Source organism: Homo sapiens, chromosome 1, assembly GCF_000001405.40.
Source record: "Homo sapiens chromosome 1, GRCh38.p14 Primary Assembly".
NCBI lineage: Eukaryota > Metazoa > Chordata > Mammalia > Primates > Hominidae > Homo > Homo sapiens.
In genome coordinates this window covers 25,613,591-25,637,055 of record NC_000001.11, presented here as the reverse complement: position 1 = coordinate 25,637,055, position 23,465 = coordinate 25,613,591, and the positions used below count along the sequence as shown (strand labels likewise).

At 45.8% G+C, this 23,465-nt stretch overlaps 1 protein-coding gene across 5 annotated transcripts in view, besides 6 other annotated features; it reads right to left on the bottom strand.

Annotated features, from left to right (window-relative positions):
- The window catches only part of MAN1C1 (mannosidase alpha class 1C member 1), a 167,660-nt gene extending 147,395 nt beyond the window's left edge, over positions 1 to 20,265 (bottom strand). For all 5 annotated transcript variants that reach the window (NM_001385182.1, NM_001385183.1, NM_020379.4 and 2 more), the window contains exon 1: positions 18,719 to 20,265. In NM_001385182.1, the coding sequence (NP_001372111.1) occupies positions 18,719 to 19,258 (540 nt within the window). In that variant the 5' untranslated portion in view covers positions 19,259 to 20,265. The remainder of the gene's footprint in view (positions 1 to 18,718) is intronic.
- Positions 652 to 852: a silencer, noted in NCBI's record as "peak129 fragment used in MPRA reporter construct". NCBI's record gives its function as "represses an SCP1 promoter by STARR-seq MPRAs in K562 erythroleukemia cells {active_cell/tissue: K562}" and the evidence as "EXISTENCE:reporter gene assay evidence [ECO:0000049][PMID:32103011]".
- Positions 15,205 to 15,705: an enhancer, noted in NCBI's record as "H3K4me1 hESC enhancer chr1:25947842-25948342 (GRCh37/hg19 assembly coordinates)". NCBI's record gives its function as "activates a minimal SCP1, AML or CMV promoter by ChIP-STARR-seq in naive H9 embryonic stem cells {active_cell/tissue: H9 hESC(naive)}" and the evidence as "EXISTENCE:reporter gene assay evidence [ECO:0000049][PMID:30033119]".
- Positions 16,574 to 16,623: an enhancer, noted in NCBI's record as "active region_461". NCBI's record gives its function as "activates an Ori minimal core promoter by ATAC-STARR-seq in GM12878 lymphoblastoid cells {active_cell/tissue: GM12878}" and the evidence as "EXISTENCE:reporter gene assay evidence [ECO:0000049][PMID:35858748]".
- Positions 20,040 to 20,329: a silencer, noted in NCBI's record as "silent region_459". NCBI's record gives its function as "represses an Ori minimal core promoter by ATAC-STARR-seq in GM12878 lymphoblastoid cells {active_cell/tissue: GM12878}" and the evidence as "EXISTENCE:reporter gene assay evidence [ECO:0000049][PMID:35858748]".
- Positions 20,350 to 20,639: a silencer, noted in NCBI's record as "silent region_458". NCBI's record gives its function as "represses an Ori minimal core promoter by ATAC-STARR-seq in GM12878 lymphoblastoid cells {active_cell/tissue: GM12878}" and the evidence as "EXISTENCE:reporter gene assay evidence [ECO:0000049][PMID:35858748]".
- Positions 20,830 to 20,999: an enhancer, noted in NCBI's record as "active region_460". NCBI's record gives its function as "activates an Ori minimal core promoter by ATAC-STARR-seq in GM12878 lymphoblastoid cells {active_cell/tissue: GM12878}" and the evidence as "EXISTENCE:reporter gene assay evidence [ECO:0000049][PMID:35858748]".

Sequence of the window (23,465 nt, the reverse complement as noted above, 5' to 3'; positions counted from 1 at the left end):
AGCCGGCCAAGTAGCTGGGATTACAGGCACATGCCACCATGCCCGGCAAATTTTTGTATTTTTAGTAGAGATGGGGTTTCACTATGCTGGCCAGGCTGGTCTCAAAGTCCTGACCCCAAGTGATCCACCTGCCTCGGCCTCCCAAAGTACTGGGATTACAGGCATGAGCCACCATGCCTGGCCGAGTGTTGTGGGAAGTCAGGGATCCTGAACGGAGGGACCAGCTGGAGCCACAGCAGAGGAACATAAATTGTGAAGATTTCATGGACATTTATCAGTTCCCAAATAATACTTTTATAATTTCTTATGCCTGTCTTACTTTAATCTCTTAATCCCGTTATCTTCATAGGCTGAGGATGTACGTCACCTCAGGACCACTGTGATAATTGTCTTAACTGTACAAATTGATTGTAACACATGTGTGTTTGAACAATATGAAATCAGTGTACCTTGAAAAAGAACAGAGTAACAGCAATTTTCAGGGAACAAGGGAAGACAACCATAAGGTCTGACTGCCTGCAGGGTTGGGCAAAATAGAGCCATATTTTTCTTCTTGCAGAGAGCCTATAAACAGACGTGCAAGTAGGGAAGATATCGCTAAATTCTTTTCCTAGCAAGGAATATTAATAATTAATACCCTGGGGAAGGAATGTATTCCTGGGGGGAGGTCTATAAACGGCCGCTCTGGGAGTGTCTATCTTATGTGGCTGAGATAAGGACTGAAACACGGCCTGGTCTCCTGCAGTACCTTCAGGCTTATTAGGGTGGGGAAAAAACTCTGCCCTGGTAAATTTGTGGTCAGACCGGTTCTCTGCTTTTGAACCCTGTTTTCTGTTGTTTAAGATGTTTATCAAGACAATACGTGCACAGCTGAACATAAACCCTTATCAGTAGTTCTGATTTTGCCCTTGTCCTGTTTCCTCAGAAGCATGTGATCTTTGTTCTCCCTTTTGCCCTTTGAAGCATGTGATCTTTGTGACCTACTCCCTGTTCGTACACCCCCTACCCTTTTAGAATCCTTAATAACAACTTGCTGGTCTTGTGGCTCAGGTGGGCATCACGGTCCTACCGATATGTGATGTCACCCCGGAGGCCCGGCTGTAAAATTCCTCTCTTGGTACTCTTTTATTTCTCAGCCAGCTGACACTTACGGAAAATGGAAAGAACCTACATTGAAATATTGGGGGTGGGTTCCCCCAGTAGCCGAGCTAAATTATTTTTAAGAGGAAACAGAAAAAGCAATTGCCATAACAGGAATTAAAGAAGGAATACCACCAGAGATCTCACAAACATTAAAAAGAAAATGAGGTGGGGTATAGTGGCTCATACCTATCATCCTGGCACTTTGGGAGGCCGAGGTGGGTGGATCACATGAGGTCAGGAGTTTGAGACCAGCCTGACCAACATGGTGAAACCCTGTCTCTACAAAAAATACAAAATTAGCCAGGCGTGGTGGCACATGCCTGTAATCCCAGCTACTTGGGAGGCTGAGGCAGGAGAATCACTTGAACTCGGGAGGCAGAGATTGCAGTGAGCTGAGATCGCACCATTGCACTCCAGCCTTGAAGACAGAGTGAGACTCTGTCTCACACACACACATAAAAAAAAAAAAAAAAAGAAAGAAAGAAAAAAGAATGAGAATCTTAGGAACAATTTTAGACCAATAAATTTTACAACTTAGATGAAATAGACAAATTTCTTGAAATACATATTGAGAAAAATGCCGCAAAAAATTCTGACTACCCTATATCTGTTATATAATTAATAATTAACCCCCCCCAAAAAAACTTCTTGGCTTTATATAATGCTCTACTGATGAAGTCTATGAAATATTTAATAAAGAGAAAACATTAGTGTCCCACAGACTCTTTCAGAAAACAGAGAAGCTGAGCATGGTATATGGTAGCACACATCTGTAGTCCTCGTTACTCTGGAGGCTGAGACAGGAGATCACTTGACCCCAGGAGTTCGAGGCCAGCCTAGGCAACACAGTGAGACACTGTATCAGGAAAGAAAGAAAACAAAGGGACATTGAATACAAGTCAACATACAGTTTATTTTATGATGTCAACATAATGTTGACACCAAAAACCAGACAAAGGATTTACAAAAAAAAAAACTATAGACCAATATCCCTCATAAACATAGATGCAAAAATCCTTAACAAAAATATTAGAAGATCAAATGCAAGTTTGATTTAGCATTCTTTTATTTTATTTTATTATTATTTTTTTTTGAGACAGAGTCTCGCTCTGTTGCCCAGGCTGGAGTGCAGTGGCACAATCTCGACTTACTGCAACCTCCGCCTCCCTAGTTCAAGCAATTCTCGTGCCCCAGCCTCCTGAATAGCTGGGACTACAGGCGTGTGCCAAGAAGCCCGGCTGATTTTTTGTATTTTAGCAGAGATGGGGTTTTACCATGTTGCCCAGGCTGGTCTCGAACTGCTGAGCTCAGGCAATCCTCCCACCTCAGCCTCTCAAAGTGCTAGGATTACAGGTGTGAGCCACCATGTGTCCAGCCTAGCATTCTTTTAAAAATATAATTCACTGTATTGACTGAATTAAAGAGGAAAACAATATAATCTCCATAGATGCAGAAAAAGCATGTGACAAAATTTAATCCCAATACAGATAAAAACCTCAGCAAACTAGGAATAAAAGTGAACTTCAACTTGATAAAAGGCATCTACCAAAAACCTACATCTAACATCATACTTAATGATGAAAGACTGGCTGCTTTTCCCTCGAGATCAAGAACAAGGCAAAGATGTCAGTTCTCACTACTTCTTTTTAACATTGAACTGGAAGTCCCAGTCAGCGCAATGAAGCAAGAAAAGGAAATAAGAAGCATATAAACTGTAAAGGAAGAAGTAAGACTGTCTTGACATAGACAACATGATTGTATACATAACAGATCCTAAGAAAGCTACCAAAAAATATATATACATAATAAATTGGTTCAATAAGGTCATATGATACAAAATCAATATACAGAAAAAACCCTATTATATTTCTATGTACTGGCAACAAACAATTGGAAAACAAATATTTAAAGAATATCATTTACATGGTGAAGGAACTTGTCACTACCAGACCAGCCCTACAAGAAATGCTAAAAGGAGTTCTAAATATTGAAACCAAAGCTTGATATGCACCAAAACAGAACCTCTTGAAAGCATAAAACAGAGCCTATAAAACAATAACACAATAGAAAAAAACCAAGCATCTAGGTAACAATTAACATGATAAATGGAACAGCACCTCACATCTCAGTATTAATGTTGAACATAAATGGCCTAAATGCTCCACTTAAAAGATACAGATTGGCAGAATGGCAGAATACGAACCAAATATCTGCTGTCTTTAAGAGACTCACCTAACGTATAAGGATTCATATAAACTCAAAGTAAAGGGGTGGAAAAAGATATTCCACACAAATGGAAACAAAAGCAAACAAGAATAACTATTCTTATATCTGATAAGACAGACTGTACAGCAACAACAGTGAAAAAAAAAAAAAAGACAAACAAGGTCATTACATAATGATAAAAGGATCAATCCAACAAGAACATATTACAATCCTAAATTTATATGTACCTAACACTACTCCCAGATTCATAAAACAATTACTACTAGATCTAAGAAATGAGTGAGGGACTTTAATACTCTACTGACAGTGCTAGACAGATCATTGAGACAAAACATCAACAAAGAAATAATGGACTTAAACTACACTCTAGAAAAAATGGACTTAACAGATATTTACAGAACATTCTACCCAAGAACTGCAGAATACACATTCTTCTCATCAGCACATAGAACATTCTCCAAGATAGACCATATGATAGGACACAAAACAAGTCTCAATACATTTTTAAAATATCGAAATTGTGGCCAGGCACAGTGGCTCATGCCTGTAATTCCAGCACTTTGGGAGACCAACGATGGTGGATCATGAGGTCAGAGATCAAGACCATCCTGGCCAACATGGTGAAACCCCGTCTCTACTAAAAATACAAAAATTAGTTGGGTGTGGTGGCACGCACCTGTAGTCCCAGGTACTCGGGAGGCTGAGGCAGGAGAATCACTTGAACCTGGGAAGCAGAGGTTGCAGTGAGCCAAGATTGTGCCACTGCACTCCAGACTGGTGACAGAGCAAGACTCCGTCTCAAAAAAAAAAAAAAAAAAAAATCAAAATTGTATCAAGTATCTTCTCAGACCGCAGTGGAATAAAGCTAGAAATCAACTCCAAAAGGAACCCTCAAAATGGTACAAATACATGAAAATTAAACAATCTGCTCCTGAGTGATTTTGGGTTAACAATAAAATCAAGATGGAAATTCAAACATTTTTTGAAATGAATAACAGTGACACAAGTTATCAAAACTCTGGGATACTGTGCTAACAGGAAAGTTTATAGCACTAAAAGCCTACATCAAAAAGTCTGAAGGATCACAAATTGACAACCTAATGTTACACCTCAAGGAACTACAGAAACAATAACAAACCAAACCCAAAGCTAGCAGAGGAAAAGAAATAACAAAGATCAGAGAAGAAGTAAATGAAATTGAAACATAAAAAAATACAAAAGATGAAATAAAAAGCTGGTTCTTTGAAAAGATAAACAAAATTGATAGACCATTAGCTAGATTAACCAAGAAAAAAAGAAGATTCAACTAAGCTCAATTAGAAATGAAACTGGAAGTATTACAACCAACACCACAGAAATACAAAAGATTATTCGTGACTACTACAAACATCTCTACGCACATAAACTAGAAAAATCTAAGAAAACTGCTAAATTCCTGGAAACATACAACCCTCCTAGATTAAATCAGGAAGAAACAGAAACCCTTAACAGACCAATAACAAGCAGCAAGATTCAATCAGTAAATTTAAAATTGCCACACACATACAAAAAAGCCCAGGGCATGATGGATTCACAGCTGAATTCTATCAGACATTCAAAGAAGAATTGGGGCTGGACACGGCAGCCCGCATCTGTAATCCCAACACTTTGGGAGGCCAAAGTGGGCGGATCGCTTGAGGTCAGGAGTTCAGGATTCAAGACCAGCCTAGCCAACATGGTGAAACCCCATCCTACAAAAAATACAAAAATTAGCCGTGCGTAGTGGCATGCACCTGTAGTCCCAGCTACTCAGGCAGCTGAGGCAGGAGAATCACTTGAACCTAAGCAGGCAGAGGTTGCAGTGAGCTGAGATCGCGCCACTACACTCCAGCTACTGAAACTATTCCAAAAGATTAAGAAAGAGGAAATCCTCCCTAAATCATTCTACGAAGCCAGTATCACTTTCATAACAAAACCAGGAAAGGACATAACAAAAATAAGGAAAACTACAGACCAATGTCCCTGATGAATACAGATGCAAAAATCCTCAGCAAAATACAAGCTAACAAAATCCAACAGCACATCAAAAATGTAATACACCATGATCAAGTGGGTTTCATAGCAGGGATGCAGGGATGGTCTAACATATACAAGTCAATAAATGTCATATATCACATAAACAGAATTAAAAACAAAAACCATACGATCATCTCAATAGTTGCAGAAAAAGCATTCAATAAGATCCAGCATCCTTTTATGATAAAAAAAACTCTCAACAAACCAGGCATAGAAAGGACTTATCTCAAAATAATAAAAGCCATATATGACAAACCCATAACCAACATCATACCGAATGGGGAAAAGTTTAAGGCATTCCCTTCTAAGAACTGGAACAAGACAAGGATGCCGACTTTCACTACTTCTATTAAACATAGCACTGGGCTGGGTGCGGTGGCTCATGCCTGTAATCCTAGCACTTTGGGAGGCTGAGGCGGGTGGACTGCCTAAGCTCAGGAGTTTGAGACCAGCCTGGGCAACATGGCAAAACCCCGTCTCTTCTAAAAATACAAAAAAAATTAACCAGGCGTGGTGGTACATGCCTGTAATCCCAGCTGCTCAGGAGGCTGAGGCACAAGAATCACTTAAATGCGGGAGGCGGGGGTTTCAGTGAGCCAAGATCGTGCCACTGGACTCCAGCCTGGGCGACAGAGCGAGACTCTGTCTCAAAAACAAAAACAAACAAACAAACAAACAAACAAAAACATAGTACTGGAAGTCCTAGCCAGAGCAATCTGGCAAGAGAAAGGAATAAAGGACATCCAAATTGGGAAAGAGGAAGTCAGACTATCACTGTTCACAGATGATATGACTGTATACCTAGAAAATCCTAAAGATTCCTCCAAAAGACTCTTAGATTTGATAAATAAATTCATTAAAGTCTCAGGTTACAAAATCAGTATATACAAATCAGTAGCACTGCTATACACCAACAACAACCAAGCTAAGAATCAAGTCAATAACTCAATCCCTTTTACAACAGCTGCAAAAATAAAATAAAATAAAAAACTTAGGAATATACTTAACTAAGGAGGTGAAATTTCTCTACAAGGAGAACAACAAGACACTGCTGGAAGAAATCACAGATAACACAAACAAATGGAAACACATCCCATGCTCATGGATTAGAAGAATCAGTATTGTGAAAATGACCATACTGCCCAAAGCAATCTACAGATTCAATGCAATCCCAAACAAAATAACAACATCATTGTTCACAGAATTAGAAAAAATAATCCTAAAATTAATATGAAATTTTTAAAAAGAGCCTGAATGGCCAAAGCAAACCTAAGCAAAAACAACAAATCTAGAGGTATCACATTACCAGACTTCAAATTGTACCACAAGGCTATAGTTACCAAAACAGAATGGTACTGATATAAAAGTAGGCACATAGACCCATGGAAAAGAATAGAGAACCCATAGATAAAGCCAAATATTTACAACCAACGGATCTTTGATGAAGCATATAAAAATATTTATTTTTTAAATAGGGTAAAGGGCACCCTATTTAATAAATGGTGCTGGGAAAACTGGCTAGCCACACATAGAGGAATGAAACTGGATCCCTATCTCTCATCTTATACAAAAAAAACTCAGGATGAGTCAACGACTTAAATCTAAGACCTGAAACCATAAGAATTCTAAAGATAACATCAGAAAAACTCTTCTGGACATTGGCCTAGGCAAAGACTTCATGACTAAGACCCCAAAAGCGAATGCAATAAAAACAAAAATAGATCAATAAATGGGATCTCGTTAAACTAAAAAGTTTCTGCACAGCAAAAGTAATAATCATCAGAGTAAAAAGACAATGCACATAATGGGAGAAAATATTTGCATACTATATATCCAACAAAGAACTAGTGTCTAAAAACCACAAGAAACTCAAATCAGAAAAAAAAAAAATCAATTAAAAAGTGGGCAAATGGCTGGGTGCAGTGGCTCACACCTGTAATCCCAGCACTTTGGGAGGCCGAGGTGGGCAGATCACCTGAGGTAGGGAGTTCGAGACCAGCCTGACCAATATGGTGAAACCCTGTCTCTACTAAAAATACAAGAAATCAGCCAGGCATGGTGACACATGCCTGTGATCCCGAGGTAGGAGAATCACTTGAACCTGGGAGGCGGAGGCTGCAGTGAGCCAAGATCGCACCACTGCACTCCAGCCTGAGTGACGGAGGGAGACCCTGTCTCAAAATAAATTAATTAATTAAGTAGGCAAATGACATGAATAGACATTTCTCAAAAAAGATACACAAATGGCCAAGAAACATATGAAAAATGCTCTACATCACTAATCATCAGGGAAATGCAAATTAAAACCACAATGCAAATTAAAACCACAACCTTACTCCTGCAAGAATGACATTACTAAAAAGTCAAAAAACAATAGACATTGGCATTGATGTGGTGAAAAGGGAACACTCATACACTGCTGGTAGGAATGTAAATTAGTACAGCCTCTATGGAAAACAGTATGGAGATTCCTTTAAGAACTATAAGTAGATCTACCATTCGATCCTGCAGTCCCACTACTGGGTATCTACTCAAAGAAAAAGAAGCCATTACATGAAAAAGACACATGTACACGCATGTTTACTGCAGCACAATTCACAATTGCAAAGATATGGGACCAACCTAAGTGTCCATTGGCCAACGAGTGGATAAAGAAAATGTGGTATATATATGCCATGGAATACTACGGAGCTGTGAAAAGGAATGAAATAACATCTTTTGCAGCAACTTGGATGTAGCAGGAGGCCATTATTCTAAGTGAAGTAACTCAGGAATGGAAAACCAAATATTATATGTTCTCACTTATAAATGGGAGCTAAGTTATGACTATACAAAGGCATATAAAGTGATATAACGGACTTTGGAGACTCAGAAGGGGGAGGGATTAAAAAAATCCTATATACTGAGTACAATCTATACTACTTGGATTAAGGGGGCACTAAAATCTCAGAATTCACCACTATATAATTCATCCATGTAACCAAAGACCACTTGCACTCCAAAAGCTATTAAAATTTTTAAAATGGCTGGGTGTGGTGGCTCACACCTATAATCCCAGCACTTTGGGAGGCAGGGGCAGATGGATCACCTGAGGTCAGGAGTTCGAGAGCAGCCTGACCAACATGGTGAAATCCCGTCTCTATTAAAAATACAAAAATTAGCCAGGCATGGTGACATGCACCTGTAATCTCAGCTACTCGGGAGACTGAGGCAGGAGAATTGCTTGAACCCGGGAGGCGGAGTTTGCAGTGAGCTGAGATCACGCCATTGAACTCCAGCCTGGGCAACAAGAGCGAAACTCCTTCTCAAAAATAAAAATAAAAATAAATGAAATTTTAAAAATATTTAAAAATAAAAATAAAGAATATCATTTACAATATTTAAAAAGTAAAATAGAGATAGTTAATAAAATACATTAAAGCTCTCTTGAACATAAACACTATTCAAAACACTGTTGAGAGAAATTAAAGAAAATCTAAATAAATAGAGACAGATACCACATTCATAGAATGAAAGACCCAATACTGTTAAGATAACAATTTGATCTATGGATTCAAGTCAAACTCAGTCAAAATCTCAGTTTTTTAGACAGTGCCTCACTCTGTCACCCAGGCTGGAGTACAGTGTTGCAATCATGGCTCACTGCAGACTCAACCTCCTGGCTCAAGTGATCCTCCCACCTCTCAGCTTTTCCAGTAGCAGGAACCATAGGTGTGCACCATCATCATGCCTGGATAATTTTTGTATTTTTTTTTTTTTTTTTTAGAGATTGGGTTTTGCCATGTTGCCCAGGCTGGTCTGGAACTCCTGGGCTCAATCGATTCACCCATCTTGGCCTCCCAAAATGCTGGGATTGTAGGTGTGGGCCACCATGCCTGGCCTCCCAGCAAGATTTTTCATGGAAAGTGACAAATTTGTTCTCAAATGTATACAGACATGCAAAGGAACTACAATGGCCAAAGCAATTTTGAAAAAGAAGATCAAAGATGGAGGAATCACACTACCTGTTTTCAAGACTGACTTACTATGAGGCTATAGCATCAAGAAAGCATGGATTGGCTGGGCACAGTGGCTCACGCCTGTAATCCCAGCACTTTGGGAGGCTGAGGCGGGCAAATCACTGGAGGTCAGGAGTTTGAGACCAGCCTAGCTAACATGGCAAAACCCCGTCTCTACTAAAAATACAAAAATTAGTTGGGCGTGGTGGCTCATGCCTGTAGTCTCAGCTACTTGGGAGGCTGAGGCAGGAAGATCGCTTGAATCTGGGAGGTGGAGTGAGCTGAGATCACACCACCGCACTCCAGCCTGGGCGACAAAGCGAGAAAAAGAGAAGAGAAGAGAAGAAGAGAAGACAAGAGAAGAGAAGAGAAGAGAAGAGAAAAGAATGGAATGACATAAAAGATAAATCACTAGAGTGGAAAAATCCAGAAACAAAACCATATTGTATATAGTCAATTAGTTCAGCGAAGGCATCAAAGCAATTCAGCAGGGAAAGGAAAGTTTTTTTCAACAAATAGTGATAAACAACTGGACATCTAAATAGCAAATAGTGAACTTTAACTCCTACCTTACATTATATACAAAAATTAACTTGAAGTCAATGAAAGACCTAAATGTAAATACTGAAATGATCAAGCTTCTGGAATTAAAAAATATTCATAACCTGGGGTAGGCAAAGTTTTTTTTAAACTAGATACAGAAAGCACTCATCAAAAGGAAAATACTGATACACTGGCCTTTATAAAAATTAAAACTTCTGCTCTTTGAGTGACACCATTAAGAAAATGAAAAGACAAACCATAGACTGGGAACAAACATTTATAATACATATATCTGTTAAAGAACTTGTATCTAGAATATATGAAGCATTCTTGCAATTCAATAAGACAGTAAATAGACCAGTTTTTGACATTAAAAAAGAACAAAAGTTTTAAACAGACATTTATAAGAGAGATACAGAAACAGCAAATAAACGGCCGGGCGCAGTGGCTCACACCTGTAATCCCAGCACTTTGGGAGGCCGAGGCAGGCGGATCATGAGGTCAGGAGATTGAAACCAGCCTGGCTAACACAGTGAAACCCCATCTCTACTAAAAATACAAAAAATGAGCCAGGCGTGGTGGCGGACACCTGTAGTCCCAGCTACTCAGAAGGCTGAGGCAGGAGAATGGCGTGAACCCAGGAGGCAGAGCTTGCAGTGAGCTGAGATCGTGCCACTGCACTCCAGCCTGGGCAACAGAGCAAGACTCCATCTCAAAAAAAAAAAAGAAAGAAAGAAAGAAATAGCAAATAAACACATGAAAAGGACATTCAATATCAACAGTTAACAAGGAAACAAAAATTAAAGCCACAACAAAATATCACTATAAACCTAAAAAGGCTGACAATAACAAGTGTTGGCAAGGATGCGGAACTCTCACATATTGCTGGTGGAGTATAAAATGGTCTAACTACTTGGGGAAAGCGCTTCCAGTTTCTTATAAAGTCAATCACACATCTGCTCTATGGGCCAGTAATTCCACCCCTAGTTATACAGAAGAAATGAAAACATATGCCCACACACAGACTTGTACATAAAATGTTTATAGCAGCTTTATTCACAATAGCCAGAACAACTCAAAAGGCCAACAGGTGAACGAATAAACAAATTGGGGTATAATCATACAATGGAATACATCTCAACAATAAAAAGGAATGAAGTACTGATACGCACAATATGGATCAATTTCAAAAACTGTCTTCAATGAAGGAAGCCTTGTCCACAGGGCATGGACTGTACTATTCCACTTATTTTGTACTTTTTTTTTCTTTGAGACAGGGTCTCCCTCTGTCACCCAGTCTGGAGTGCAGTGGCCTGATCAAAACTCACTACAGCTTCAGACTCCTGGGCTCAATGAATCCACCCACCTCAGCCTCCTGAGTAGCTGGGAACACAGGTGTACACTACCACGCCTGATTATTTTATATATAGAGAAAGAGAGAGCGACAGGGTCTTGCTATGTTGCCCAAGCTGGTCTTGAACTTCTATCTTCATGTGATCCTCCCACCTCAGCCTCCCAAAGTGCTAGAATTACAAGCATGAGCCATTGTACCTGGCTTACTACTCCATTTTTCTGAAGTTCTAGAACAGGCAAAACTAATCTCAGCTAATAGAAATCAAGACTGTGATAGGGGCTAGGTGAGAGGTTGATGATGGGGGAATCGTCTGGCAAGGAGCAAAGGAACTTTCTGAGATGATGGAAATGTTCTGTATATGATACAACTGTGGTCTACACGGTTTTCTGCATTTCTGAAAATACAGCAAACTGTATATTTAAGATCTGTGCATTTGGCTGGGTGCGGCTCACACCTGTAATCCCAGCACTTTGGGAGGCTGAGGCGGATGGATCACCTGAGGTTAGGAGTTCATGACCAGTCTGGCCAACATGGCAAAACCCCATCTCTACTAAAAATACAAAATTAGCTGGGCATGGTGGCAGGTGCCTGTAATCCCAGCTACTCGGGAGGCTGAGGCAGGAGAATTGCTTGAACCCAGGAGGCAGAGGTTGCTGTGTGCAGAGATTGTGCCACGGCACTCCAGCCTGGAAGACAGAGCAAGACTCCATCTCAAAAAAAAAAAAAAAAAAAAAAAAATCTGTGCATTTCGCTATATGTATTAATAAATTATACTTAAATAGTAGCTACAACACAAGGTTGTTGTATAAAAAATAAGATGAGATCACAAAGAACAAACATTGGGAAGCAAACAGTCTTAGTGATACAACCCATCAGCCCCAACAGGACATCGCTGCATTGCACAGTGGATTTTATGGCGACCACGAGGCCAGCAAGAATGATTTGTGTTTAGCATGATGCTTAAGAAGATGGCAGAGGTGGAAGGAGGAGAGAAAAACTTCCTTTTATTTGGCCATTGAAAATGGTTGCTATTTAGTGACAATTGTTTGCCCAGAAGGTTCACCTTGGCAGCAGCTGACTCCCAAGAAGATGCCAGATAAAAGCACAATTATTGATCATCTATCAAGGCGGGCACTAATCAATATAGCAAAGTTTCTTCTGTAAAAGTTACCACTAAAACAGATGGACAATTGCCCTGGTTGTAGCCTTTAATTAAAGAAGATTCCAAGTTAAGAAATTCAGACCCCCTTGTGAGTAAGAACTGTTTTGACCACCTGCCTGCCAAGTGTGGGGAGCTCTCAATCAAATCTTAGGCAACAGCCTTCTAGGGGAGGAAACACCCGCAACTGAGTCCCCACACTGAGGCTGTGGTCTCTGTGGCTTCTATTCTCTTTGAGGGTGGAGACACCAAAGCAGGTCTGACTTAACAGCAATCTCAGTTGCATCAACTCTACATTTAGGACATCCAAAACCCTGCTGTCTGAGCTACTGACCAGCCCCCAGAGTGAAGGGGGAGTGAGGAGGAAGACGGAGGGGCCTAAGTTCCTTGAGTCCTTGGAATTCTTTGAGGAGTCTCCCGTTTGGCTTCTTACCATCATCTGCATGGCAATACAGAGCTAAGAACATTTGTTGTTTCTTTTCCCCAAATTATGCAAATGTTTATGCATAAAGGCCTTGCTTGGCCCAGGAATAGCAGAGAATCAAGAACCAGGGCTTATTGTTTGAATGATCCTGGTCTTTTTGGACTGCAGGTGCACAGAACCGGAAAGACAACAATCCTTGACTCATGACACTTGTCCCTGCTCCATGCATGGCCCCTATTTTCAAGAAATGTAATCATAAATCCATGAGCTCGCCTGAGGCAACTAGCCTACGTCCATCATTCCCTTGGGAAATCCTTCCCAATTTTGCCACTGAAAGCAACGCAGGGAGAGCCTAAAGCTCCCAACACTTCCTCTAACACAGATTCAACTTAGGATGCAAAAAGAGGTTTCTTCTCCAAGCCAGCGTCAGTATCCACAAGGCTGGGTGCTCACCTGGATTACCAAGCAGCTTCCCTACACAGGGGCTTTACAATCTGCAAGACTGATTTATTTTTTTCAATAAGAGAAAAGATGTAAGTCCCTTTGAGCAAAGTATGCCTGATATATATCACAATATTTATTTTTGGTGGAGTAATGGATCTGTCTTCTGGGAAAGCTAGAGAAAAAGCATTTCTTGAACTCGGATGTAAATCAGTCACTGTGAAAACCACAGGGGAATCTATATTCTTACCCCCCCCCACCACCACTAACTATACTGTGAAATAGGCAGCAGACTTTTAAAAATCATCCTTCTATTTGTTTCTAGCCCTGACACTAAAGACAGAGTTAAGAATATGGGGCCTAAGAAGCAATTGCTCCTGGAATGCCTAATTCCCTCAAATGGTACAACTAGAAATGAAAGCAGAGACACAACCAACGTGTGGGAGTTAAGTTGTATACCTGGTAGGGACAAGTGCTAAGCTTTACTCAACTGCACACTTGGTCCTACGGAAGGAGGAGGCGTATGGCTGGGCTGAGGATGTAAGGGTTTTCCAAGGGGCCTGTCCAGTTATTACAGGCCAGTCTCCACCTATGTTAAATGCATGGTAGAGCAGGACAAGAGGGAAACGGAAGAGACTGAAGGGCCAGGGAGAAGGGAAAGGATCTTGAATGGATTTACAACTCAAACAGAGCTCTTGGAAGGAAAGCTATTTAAATCTGAGCTGTTCCTAATATTAATTATCCTGAACATCTCACAGGCTCAGATTCACATGCTACAAAGCCTTTTAATTTTCCTACCTGTCCCTGGCACTAGTGACGATAAATCAGATATACAGAGAAAACAGAAAAAAATCACACATGACTAACGAACCAGCCCGTTAATGGGGAGCAAAGATCATTTGCCAAGATGACTTATTCAGACACTGTCACATATCATAACCAGCAATACCCTGGTGGTTGAACACAGCAGGCACAGAGGGCAAGAGCTGGGGTGCTCCCTCCCTGCCAAGTCACAGGCACCCTCCGATGCCTGCTCTCTAGGCATGAGAGATTTTACTCACGAGTGTCACCTCCACTCCCTCAAGTCAGATTTACCCTCAGAAAATTGCTGCAACTTCTAAAAGGCCTCTTGGGTCACTGAGCCGCTAAGCCCCTAAACCTGACTACAGCTCTTACTGTGAGGGTCCTTTGAATTCCAGGTACCCTAAGGGAGAAGACCCAGCCTTAGCCACTAGCAATCTTAACTGTTAGTTTATGGATCTTTAATGTAGCCATTCATTAAAGTAGGTGAGTTCCAACTAAATGTCAGACCCTATTCTAGGTGCTTGGGCAGATCCATAAACAAACAGTAAAGAGGTGGAAGAGAAGAGAGAAGGGTCCCCTAAATGCCAGCCTCTTGGTTTACCATGAAGACTGAGGCCCAGTAATAAACAGGAATTTCCAATCAGAGTTGATGGAACAGCTAGGACTTGACCCAGCTTGGATTCTTAACAGAACTGCAGCATACAGTGGTTTGTAAGAACACTGGGCCAACAGCACAGGGAAGGTGGGGAAATTCAATCCACATTCTCCTCACCCAGCCCTGCACTCTGGAGTGATGCTGGTGCTGCACCTAACCAGAGGAAGGAGCCCTTTCTGTGGTTTGTTTGAAAACACCATATGGGCAAGGGCAAGTCCCAACTCCAGTACCGCGTTCTCAGTGCCCCAGCCAGCCTAATTCCCTTTTATAAAAAGCCCCCTTCACTGGAAGGAACTGAGGTTCCCCAGAACAACAACCAAGCACTGGCCAGGCGCGGTGGCTCGTGCCTGTAATCTCAGCACTTTGGGAGGCTGAGGCAGGTGGATCACCTGAGGTCAGGAGATCGAGACCAGCCTGGCCAACACAGCAAAACCCCGTCTCTACTAAAAATACAAAAATTAGCCAGGTGTGGTGGGGCGCCTGGAATCCCAGTTACTTGGGAGGCTGAGTCATGAGAATCGCTTGAACCTGGAACCTGGGAGGCGGAGGCTGCAGTGAGCCAAGACCACGCCACTGCACTGCAGCCTCGACGACAGAGCAAGACTCCGTCTTAAAAAAAAAACAAACACAAACAAAAAAAACAACAACAACAAAAACACAACCAAGCATCATGGGTAGGACCCAGAGCAGTCTGAATTCTTCCACTGAGATATAACCCTGAAAAGCTGTACATTCCCATGTGTGAGACAAGTCTGTTTGAACTTGAATCCATAAGAAACCCGCCTATGAATGACATCCCCCATTTCCTATATTATCCTCAGATCTGAAAGGCAAGGCTACTACCAAGCCTTCACCCCTTTACATTCCAGCCAACACCTTTACTCTTCGTGATTCCAAGCTGAGGGTAATGGGAATAATTAACTTAACCAACTGCCTGAATATCTATTCTTGGATAGGTGCTAGACAGAGATACAGCAGTGAACATCACGACCCCATCAACACCACCACTACCACCACACCATTGTCCCTGATTTCCAGTACAAGATATCTCAAAACAGAGTTCGGAAAGCCCAACCGCTATGGAGTCCCTGACCAGACTGCCAGTTCACTTAGGGGCCAGGGCCAGAAGCAAGAGGGTCTATAACCAGCTTATTCTCCTCTCCCTCACCCCATTTTACAGGAAGGTCCAGGAAGGAGAGGTGGGTTGCCCAAAGTCAGACAGTTGAGAGTGTGCTGAAACTCCAACCCATGTTCTGTGGGTCTCCTCTCTCCACCACATTGCTTTTGCCAAGGTTCCAAAATTGGAAAGTGAGGAAAAACAGTTGGTTCTAGTGACAGAGTGTTTCCTGACATATGCATGCCCAGAACCTGCAGCCTCAACCATCTTAACAACACAGACCTGGTGACCATGTCCATCTCTCGGGATGCTCATGAATGCACAGTATTGATCTAGAGTCCAAGTGTCCAGTTTTCATTCATGCTCATTTATCACCTTCTCTCTCTCCTGATATTTACTTTCACTTTAAAATCTTATAAGAACAGGGCCTTTTTTTATCTGATGCCAGCTCCCCCTCTGTTCCTTGGATTTAATCAATCCATGTCTGGAAATAAACAAACCAGGGAGGAAAGCAACAGTCCCTTTTGTGAAAACAGGCACCTTTCTAAAATGATCTACCCCTGGGCATGACGCAGATAGAATTTAAATGTGAAGGAAATAAAGACATTCTCCAGCAACCATCATATGCGTTCTTCCTGGGGTGGGACAGCAGGAATGGTAACTGTTAACAACTAAACCAAAACCCACTCTACATCTTTCAGGTTGTCGTGAGAGCGTGGTCAGTGGCAGGAAGCCTGAAGAGACAATAGGTTTCAAAACAACAGAAACCAGCCCTCTCTTCTTCAAGATTAGTAAGAGAGGGCTAGCTGAACACCAACTCCAAGTATATGCAGCATGCCTCCAGCTAGTACCAGGGGTGCAAGGAGATACCAGCTAGAAAGATCCAGACATCTGGTCACCAACTTAGACCTTCTCCCATCATGTTATTTTATACCCACCTGCAAAGCACAGAATCCTCACCCCTCTTCCCACCCTCCAGCCACTCCAGCAAGCATCATCCCAGACTCTGCTGGCAAAATAAATTGTCTTACACAGAGAGGGAGAATCAAGTTCCCTACTAGCCAGCCCTTCCTTCCTGCCATGACTCTCCAGCCCCTGGCATTCGGAAATGGACCACCATCTAAATGCAAACACAGAGAGTATCTCTTCTGAGGAAGATGATAGTTAATTCTTAATCCTTTGGGGGATCAGTTTGAAAATCTGATGGCACCTCTGGATGCCCCATGAAAAACTGCATGCATGCAATTTATATGTAATTTCACTGGGGGTCACTGCCCTACTGGGAGGTCGAGAGGGGCAAAAAGAGCCACTGTGCTCAGAAGCAGCTTTGAGAAAGAGCTATGGGTGGTCCAAGTGAGTATTCAACAGCGTAGTTCCTTAACAAGAAAGGGAGAAATGAATGCCCCTTACTTAGCTACTGCAAGTTCCAGCTGTCACTCAACCTGAGATTTCAACAGGAATCTGGAAACTGAGAGCACACAAACATGCACACACACATACACACCAAGCACTCAGTTTCCCTGTGGCTTCCTACTGTAACTTCACAAAATGTCCTGTGATTGCTAGTTAAGTCTCCAAACAGAGTAACAGAAAAGATAAGAAGTGGAAGAGAGGTGGGCGCTGGAAGGGAGGATGGTTCAGACAAGGAGAAGGGGATAATCTGGCTAAGCCCTCCATCGGCTCTGAGCAGGTCTTGACAGGGCAGGTCCTGATCCTTGCTGCCTGCTCTTCCTGGAAATCAGGGTCGAACTGCTGACTTCTTCGCAGCAAATCAAGAAGTCCAGGCAGAAGCAGCCCTTTCTTTCCTTTGAGTCCATGGGGAGGGGAGAGCATCCTCTCGTTTCTAGGGAGGAGACCCTGGCCCACAGCTTGCCCACGGCCCCCTCGTGGCCTGGGGGTGTCACTGCAGCCCCCTCTGCATTGCTGGGCACCATCCGCACGCAGGCAGTTCTAACAGTGGTCCAGCAGAATATTTAGTGGCAGTGGCAAGCTGGCAACTGTCTTCAAGCCTTGTGAGGCTGTGTTTGCTTTTGATTTCTTAAACTAAGACTCAGACTTAAAGTGATCCTTCTAAATCCCTCCTGGTACAATCCCTACAGGGAACCAGCTCAAGATCTGCTTCATTATGCCAATAACCTCGGAGCTTCTGTAATATGACCACTGCTTTATCATCTCTTCCTGCATCATATGCAATTATGTACAATTGTGTACAATTGTTCTGAAGCTCAATAAGCTCAATAGAAACAGAATGCACAACATCCTCTGGTTTGTAGGTTGCTTACTAGATTACAAAATATTTGCAGGACACCAAATACCCCCTTAAATCCTGGGTTTTTAGGTAAGCAGGTCCTATAGGGGTTTTGGACTTAAGGTCACACAGTGAAAAAGAATGGGACCAGTGGCTCTGTGTCCACAAATGCAAAAAGAGGGTGCACTAAGGAACCTGAACTCCACTCTCATTAGCAACTCCACAAAGGGAAGGAGTGGAGCTCACTGGGCCTGGGGGTTGGATACGACATACCAGAGTCTGGGAGTGAGGGGGCAGTTGGTCTAGGGGTTCAGCTGCCATCTGTCACGGTGGGGACGATTAACTGACCCGAGTGGTGGGAAACTGTGTAGGGAGGAAAGAAGGTGGGACATTTGGGAGGAAAGGGGAAGGTGCAAAGTGCAGTCTGCAGGGCCAGAAGTAGACCTGGGACCAGGAGTGACTGAGGCAAGGGAAAGGGGTGGGAGCGCCAGAGGGTCTTCTCTCCTTAGAGGGGGCAGTTGGTGGGAGGAGTTTGGGGGCTGAGTCCATACCTCCTTGATTTTCTCCCGCTGGGCTCGCACTTGGCTCTGGGGCTCCTGACTCTCATCGGCCCTCGTTCCCAGGACCGGGTGGCGGAGACGGCTCCGGAATGCGTTGAAGTCAAAGCGGAAAGGGACGCCCTCGTCCCCGGGCCTGGAGGCCGGGATGCTATTGCCCCGGGCCGCCGTGGCCTCCTCGCGGGGTCCAGTGGGGCGGGTGCGCCGCAGCCCCCCTTTCCTGCGGCGGGGACTGGCCCAGCTGCTGGGGTCATCCTCGCCCGGGGCCGGCGCGGCGGGGGCCGGGTTGGGAGGCGGCTCCTGCTCGCGGGCCGGGGCATGGCCGGCGATTTCAGCCACCACTTCCAGACCAGGCTGCTGGGTCCGGGGGGCCAGGAAGAGGCGCTTGAGGCGAGAGGAGTGGGGCAGCAGGAAGAGGGCCCCGAAGCACAGGGTGACCAGGCCCGAGAGGAAGAGGAGGAAGAGGAACTTCTGCGGCAGCCGCAGCCCCCACGGGGAGGCCGGGACGAAGCCGGGCACTTTCCTCATGAGCATCGTGGCCCGGCCGGTGGCTCCAGAAGCCCTCGGAGTCCAGGCACGTGTCTGCGGGGGCGCGGTGAGGGGAGGGCGTCCGGAGCGCCGCCCGGGATGGGGGTCCCTGGGCAGGGTTGCCAACCCTGAGAGTTTCGCCGCTTCGGGGGACTGTCCCCGAAGTTCAGGGAGTTTGGAGCGAGTCCTCCCGCGAGGAGGCGGGGGCGCAGCGGCCTCGGCGGGGCCCGGGCGAGCGGAGCGGCACGGCTTGGGGCCCGGGCCCGCAGCGACCGGCCGCGCGCCGCAGCCTCCCCTCCGGCCGAGCCCTCCCCGCCGCGCCGGGGCCCGCGCCTTCCCGCGCTGCGGCCGCCGGGACCGTCACATGCCGTCCGCGGCGTCCCGGCTGTCCGCGCCGAGGGGCGCCCGCAGGCCCGCACCAAGCCGCCCTCCGCCCCCTAGGCTCCCGCCCGCGCTGGTAGGCGCCCAAAGTTTCAGCTTCAGAAGCAGTTTCCGGAGGGGACCGAGGCGATGGGGGGCTGGCGTGTCAGCGCCGCCCCGAGCGCGCGCACACCCGGCCCGGTCGCGACAGCGCCCGGGCTCGACTATCGGGACACGTCCACAACTTTCTCCGCCGCGGAGAGGGCGCCGGGAGCTGGGAGCCGGAGTGGCCAGGGAGCAGGAGCAGGCACTTCCGAGCCTGCGGGGGCAGGGGGCTTCCCCCGGGCCCCAGACAGCGCAGGGATGCCTGGGTCCGGAGCCGCGGCTGGGCGGCTGCAGATGCGCCCGGGAGCGCGGGCTCCCGCCCCTCGAACTCGGCAGGGCGCGGGGCTCCCACTGGGATCACCTGTTCCCGGCCCCGCCGGCTCCGCGGAGCGCGCAGCCCTGGCCGCGCCTCCCCCGCTGCAGCTGTCTTCCTCGCAGCGGCCGCTCCAGACCGGCCGCTGCCGCCGAGCCTGCGCCCCACACGCGCGCACAGCCACCCGGCCGCCTCCACCGCCGTCCCCGCCGCCGCCGCCGCTCGGGCTTTCACTGCGACAGCGCCCGCCGCCCCGCCTCCTGCCGCCCGCCGGCCACGCCCGCCGGCCACGCCCACGCGCGCGCCCCGCGCCCCCTCCCGCCGCCGCCGCGCCGCAGCCGGCTGAGGGCCGCGCGTCCGGGGGCGGGGCAGAGGCCGAGCGCGGGCGGGAGCGCAGCCCGCTCCAAGCCCCGCCCTCCCCGAAGGGCAGGCGTCGCGCGCACCCCCCATCCAGCGGGCGCCAATGGTCCAGCGGCGCGGGGCAGGCGAGGGCGGGGGCGGAGAGCGCAACGAGGGCATTGGCTGCATCCGAGGGATCCCCGTTGGGCCACAGTCGTCCATTGGTTACTGCCCAGCCTTCGCTGGACCCCAAGCGACAGAGACCACCCCCCAGCCCGCCCGCGAGGCTCGGGTTGGTGGCCCCCGGAAGCGGGCCGGAGACGGTGTTGCTCTGGAGGGGTGTGCCCGTCGCTGGGTGACCTCTCTCGCCCCCGAGTGCCAGCCCGGGGTTGTCAGGGAGCTGGCAGCCCGCGCCCTGGCGGCTGCCCCGGGCTTCTCAGCGCTAACGCCGGGCTGCAGGGGTGCTGCTGGTGGCTGGAGCCAAGCCAGAGAGCTGTGACCGCGGCCGGGTCGGCGGAGGTGATGTTTCCACTGGCCCCCTCGCAGACCACTGGCGTGCCTTCCTTTTCCCACAACCCTAAACGGGGCCAGGGCTCCTGGGTGGAGCACGGAGGGAGGCTGACCGCAGCCTTGAGAAGCAGCGAAAGGAAGAGAGCCCCGGGCGTGTCTACAGAAGACCACACACATAATGTGACGGACGTCTACCTTGATGCCTACGTGTGTTTATATGCACATGTGTGCGTCTGGGCATAGATCTATATGCACACAGAGACTGGCATGTGGGTGTGTACATGCACTCAAACATACACTTAATTTGGGTATGGACACCCAAGTGATTATACCACAGTATGCATAGACATATATGTAAATTAGTACAAACATGGACATGTGCACCCGCATACCCACAGACACTCAGGCAACAGATAACCTCCAAAAACAGCCAGGCATCAACTCCCAGACACGCGTGTCCTCAACCCCAAGGCCCTCACATCTTCCTCCTTGGACTTAGTCTCTGCATCTTCCCTTCCTGTTAAACCTAACCCAGGGTGAAGCAACATTGTGCTGTGTGGGTCTTTCATGCAAAACACTTTATAGAGACAAATAACAGCAGAGGGAGAGACAAATTAAGAGGTTTGTAATAGGCAAGAGGGAAAATATCTACTTTCAGCTGCAATTTAAAATGAAATGCAGTGTTGACGAGACAGAAAATACTGCAGGGAAGCCTTTCCCGACAGAAGAAGCGGGCCAGGCAGGCTCTCGCCTCGTAAATCTTGCTTCTTCCCTGAGGCCTGCTGGGGATGGGCGGCTGGGACTCAGTCATCCTTCTACCTCTGGCCAGACCACTGACAGCAGACCCACCCTCGATGTTTAAATATCCCTGGCATGCAACTTTCTCTCAACTGAAAATGAAAGTGGGTAACAGGTGCAAACATTTTGGTCACTGGAGATGACTAATCCTTCCCAATCCCACAAATATATGCAGCTTAAATATAAAATTCTAATTCAGATATTTCAATCTCTTGTGAGTTTCGTTGGCAGGTTGATGTGGAGCCAGCTGTGCAAATCAGAGATAAGCATGTGACCCATTTGGGTGCAGGAGCCCAGAGACCTGGCCTGGCCTCACCCATGTCTCCAACACCCAAGCATCGCCTCACTGGGTCCCACTGCAGGAAAGGGCAACCTTGTCTTTGGAGAACCAGGCAGGGACCCAGCATTCATTAGAGTCATCATCTGTGTTGTTCCTCATTGAGAGTGTAGGGGAATCACTGTTCAGTCCCCTGTGAAGGTAGGATCCAGAAAGGGAGAAGAGCAGAGCTGAATCTCAGAAGGAAATGTCTGTTTGAACTAGATGCTCACTGTGATGTGACACTCTGACCAAACTCTGGTGTGCTCTGTGAGCCAGGGTGGAAAGTGGGGCTGCAGCAGGACTGACGTGCCTTTCACACTCAGGCTATGAAAACCAGAGGCCCCAGCAGGTAACTCCATTGCAAAGTGATGTGATGTTGGTGATCACACCAAGTTGTTGATACCATCACTTGCTAGGGAGATACCAGTCTCTCTAAAAAGCTCTCTGAAACCCTGGGTGTCCCCTTGCCCCACACCTCTAGCCCCCAGAGACCTCATACATCCCGTGGCTCTTCTCCCACTGACTTTTAAAGACTATTGGTGTGTTGTCACAAAGCAGATGCTCAGTTCTTCACCACGGCTTCCTCACTTCTCTAACTCTCTAACTTCTCTAACTGCCCCGGGTCTTAACCACAATGCCTTCCACATGGGCACTGTGTTTGCTCAGTAAATGAATGAAGAAATGAGTGAGTAGATGCCCATTTCACAGATGTAGAAACTGAAGCTCGGGGAATGGAAGAACAGTGAACTAACATTTTCTATGTGCCAAATACATATTGTCTTATTTACTTTTCAGAATAATCTTTGTGGTAGATAATTATTAATAGCCCCATTTTACAGATAAGAATACCAAGGCTTAGAGAGACTTGGGATGAGTTATAAGTATCTATATTAATCAGAGTTCTCCAGAACAGAACCAATAGGCTATATATAGATATATAAAAAGAGATTTATTATGAGGGATTGACTTCTGTGATTATGGAAGGCTGAGAAGTTCCACAATCTGCCATCTGCAATCTGGAGGTCTAAAAAGCTGGTGGTGTAGTTCCAGTCCAAGCCAGGAGGCCTGAGAACCACAAGAGCCGATAGTGTAAATCCCAGTCTGAGTCTGAAGACCCGAGAACCAGGAGAGCTGATGTCCAAGGGCAGGAGAAGATGGATGTTCCAGCTCAAGCACAGAGCATGGATTTGCCATTCCTCTTCCTTTTAGTTCTGTTTCAGCCATCAGTGGATTGGATGCTGCCCACCCATACTGGTAAGGGCAGATCTTCTTTACTCAATTTACTGATTCAATTACTAATCTCTTCCAGAAATTCCCTTACAGACACACCCAGAAGTAATGTTTTACCAGCTATGTAAGCATCCCGTAGCCCAGTCAAATTGACACACAAAATTAACCTTCACAGTATCTTTCTCAGTTTAATTCAGAAATTCAAATGGAACTGGGAACAGAAACAAACAGCTATTTCT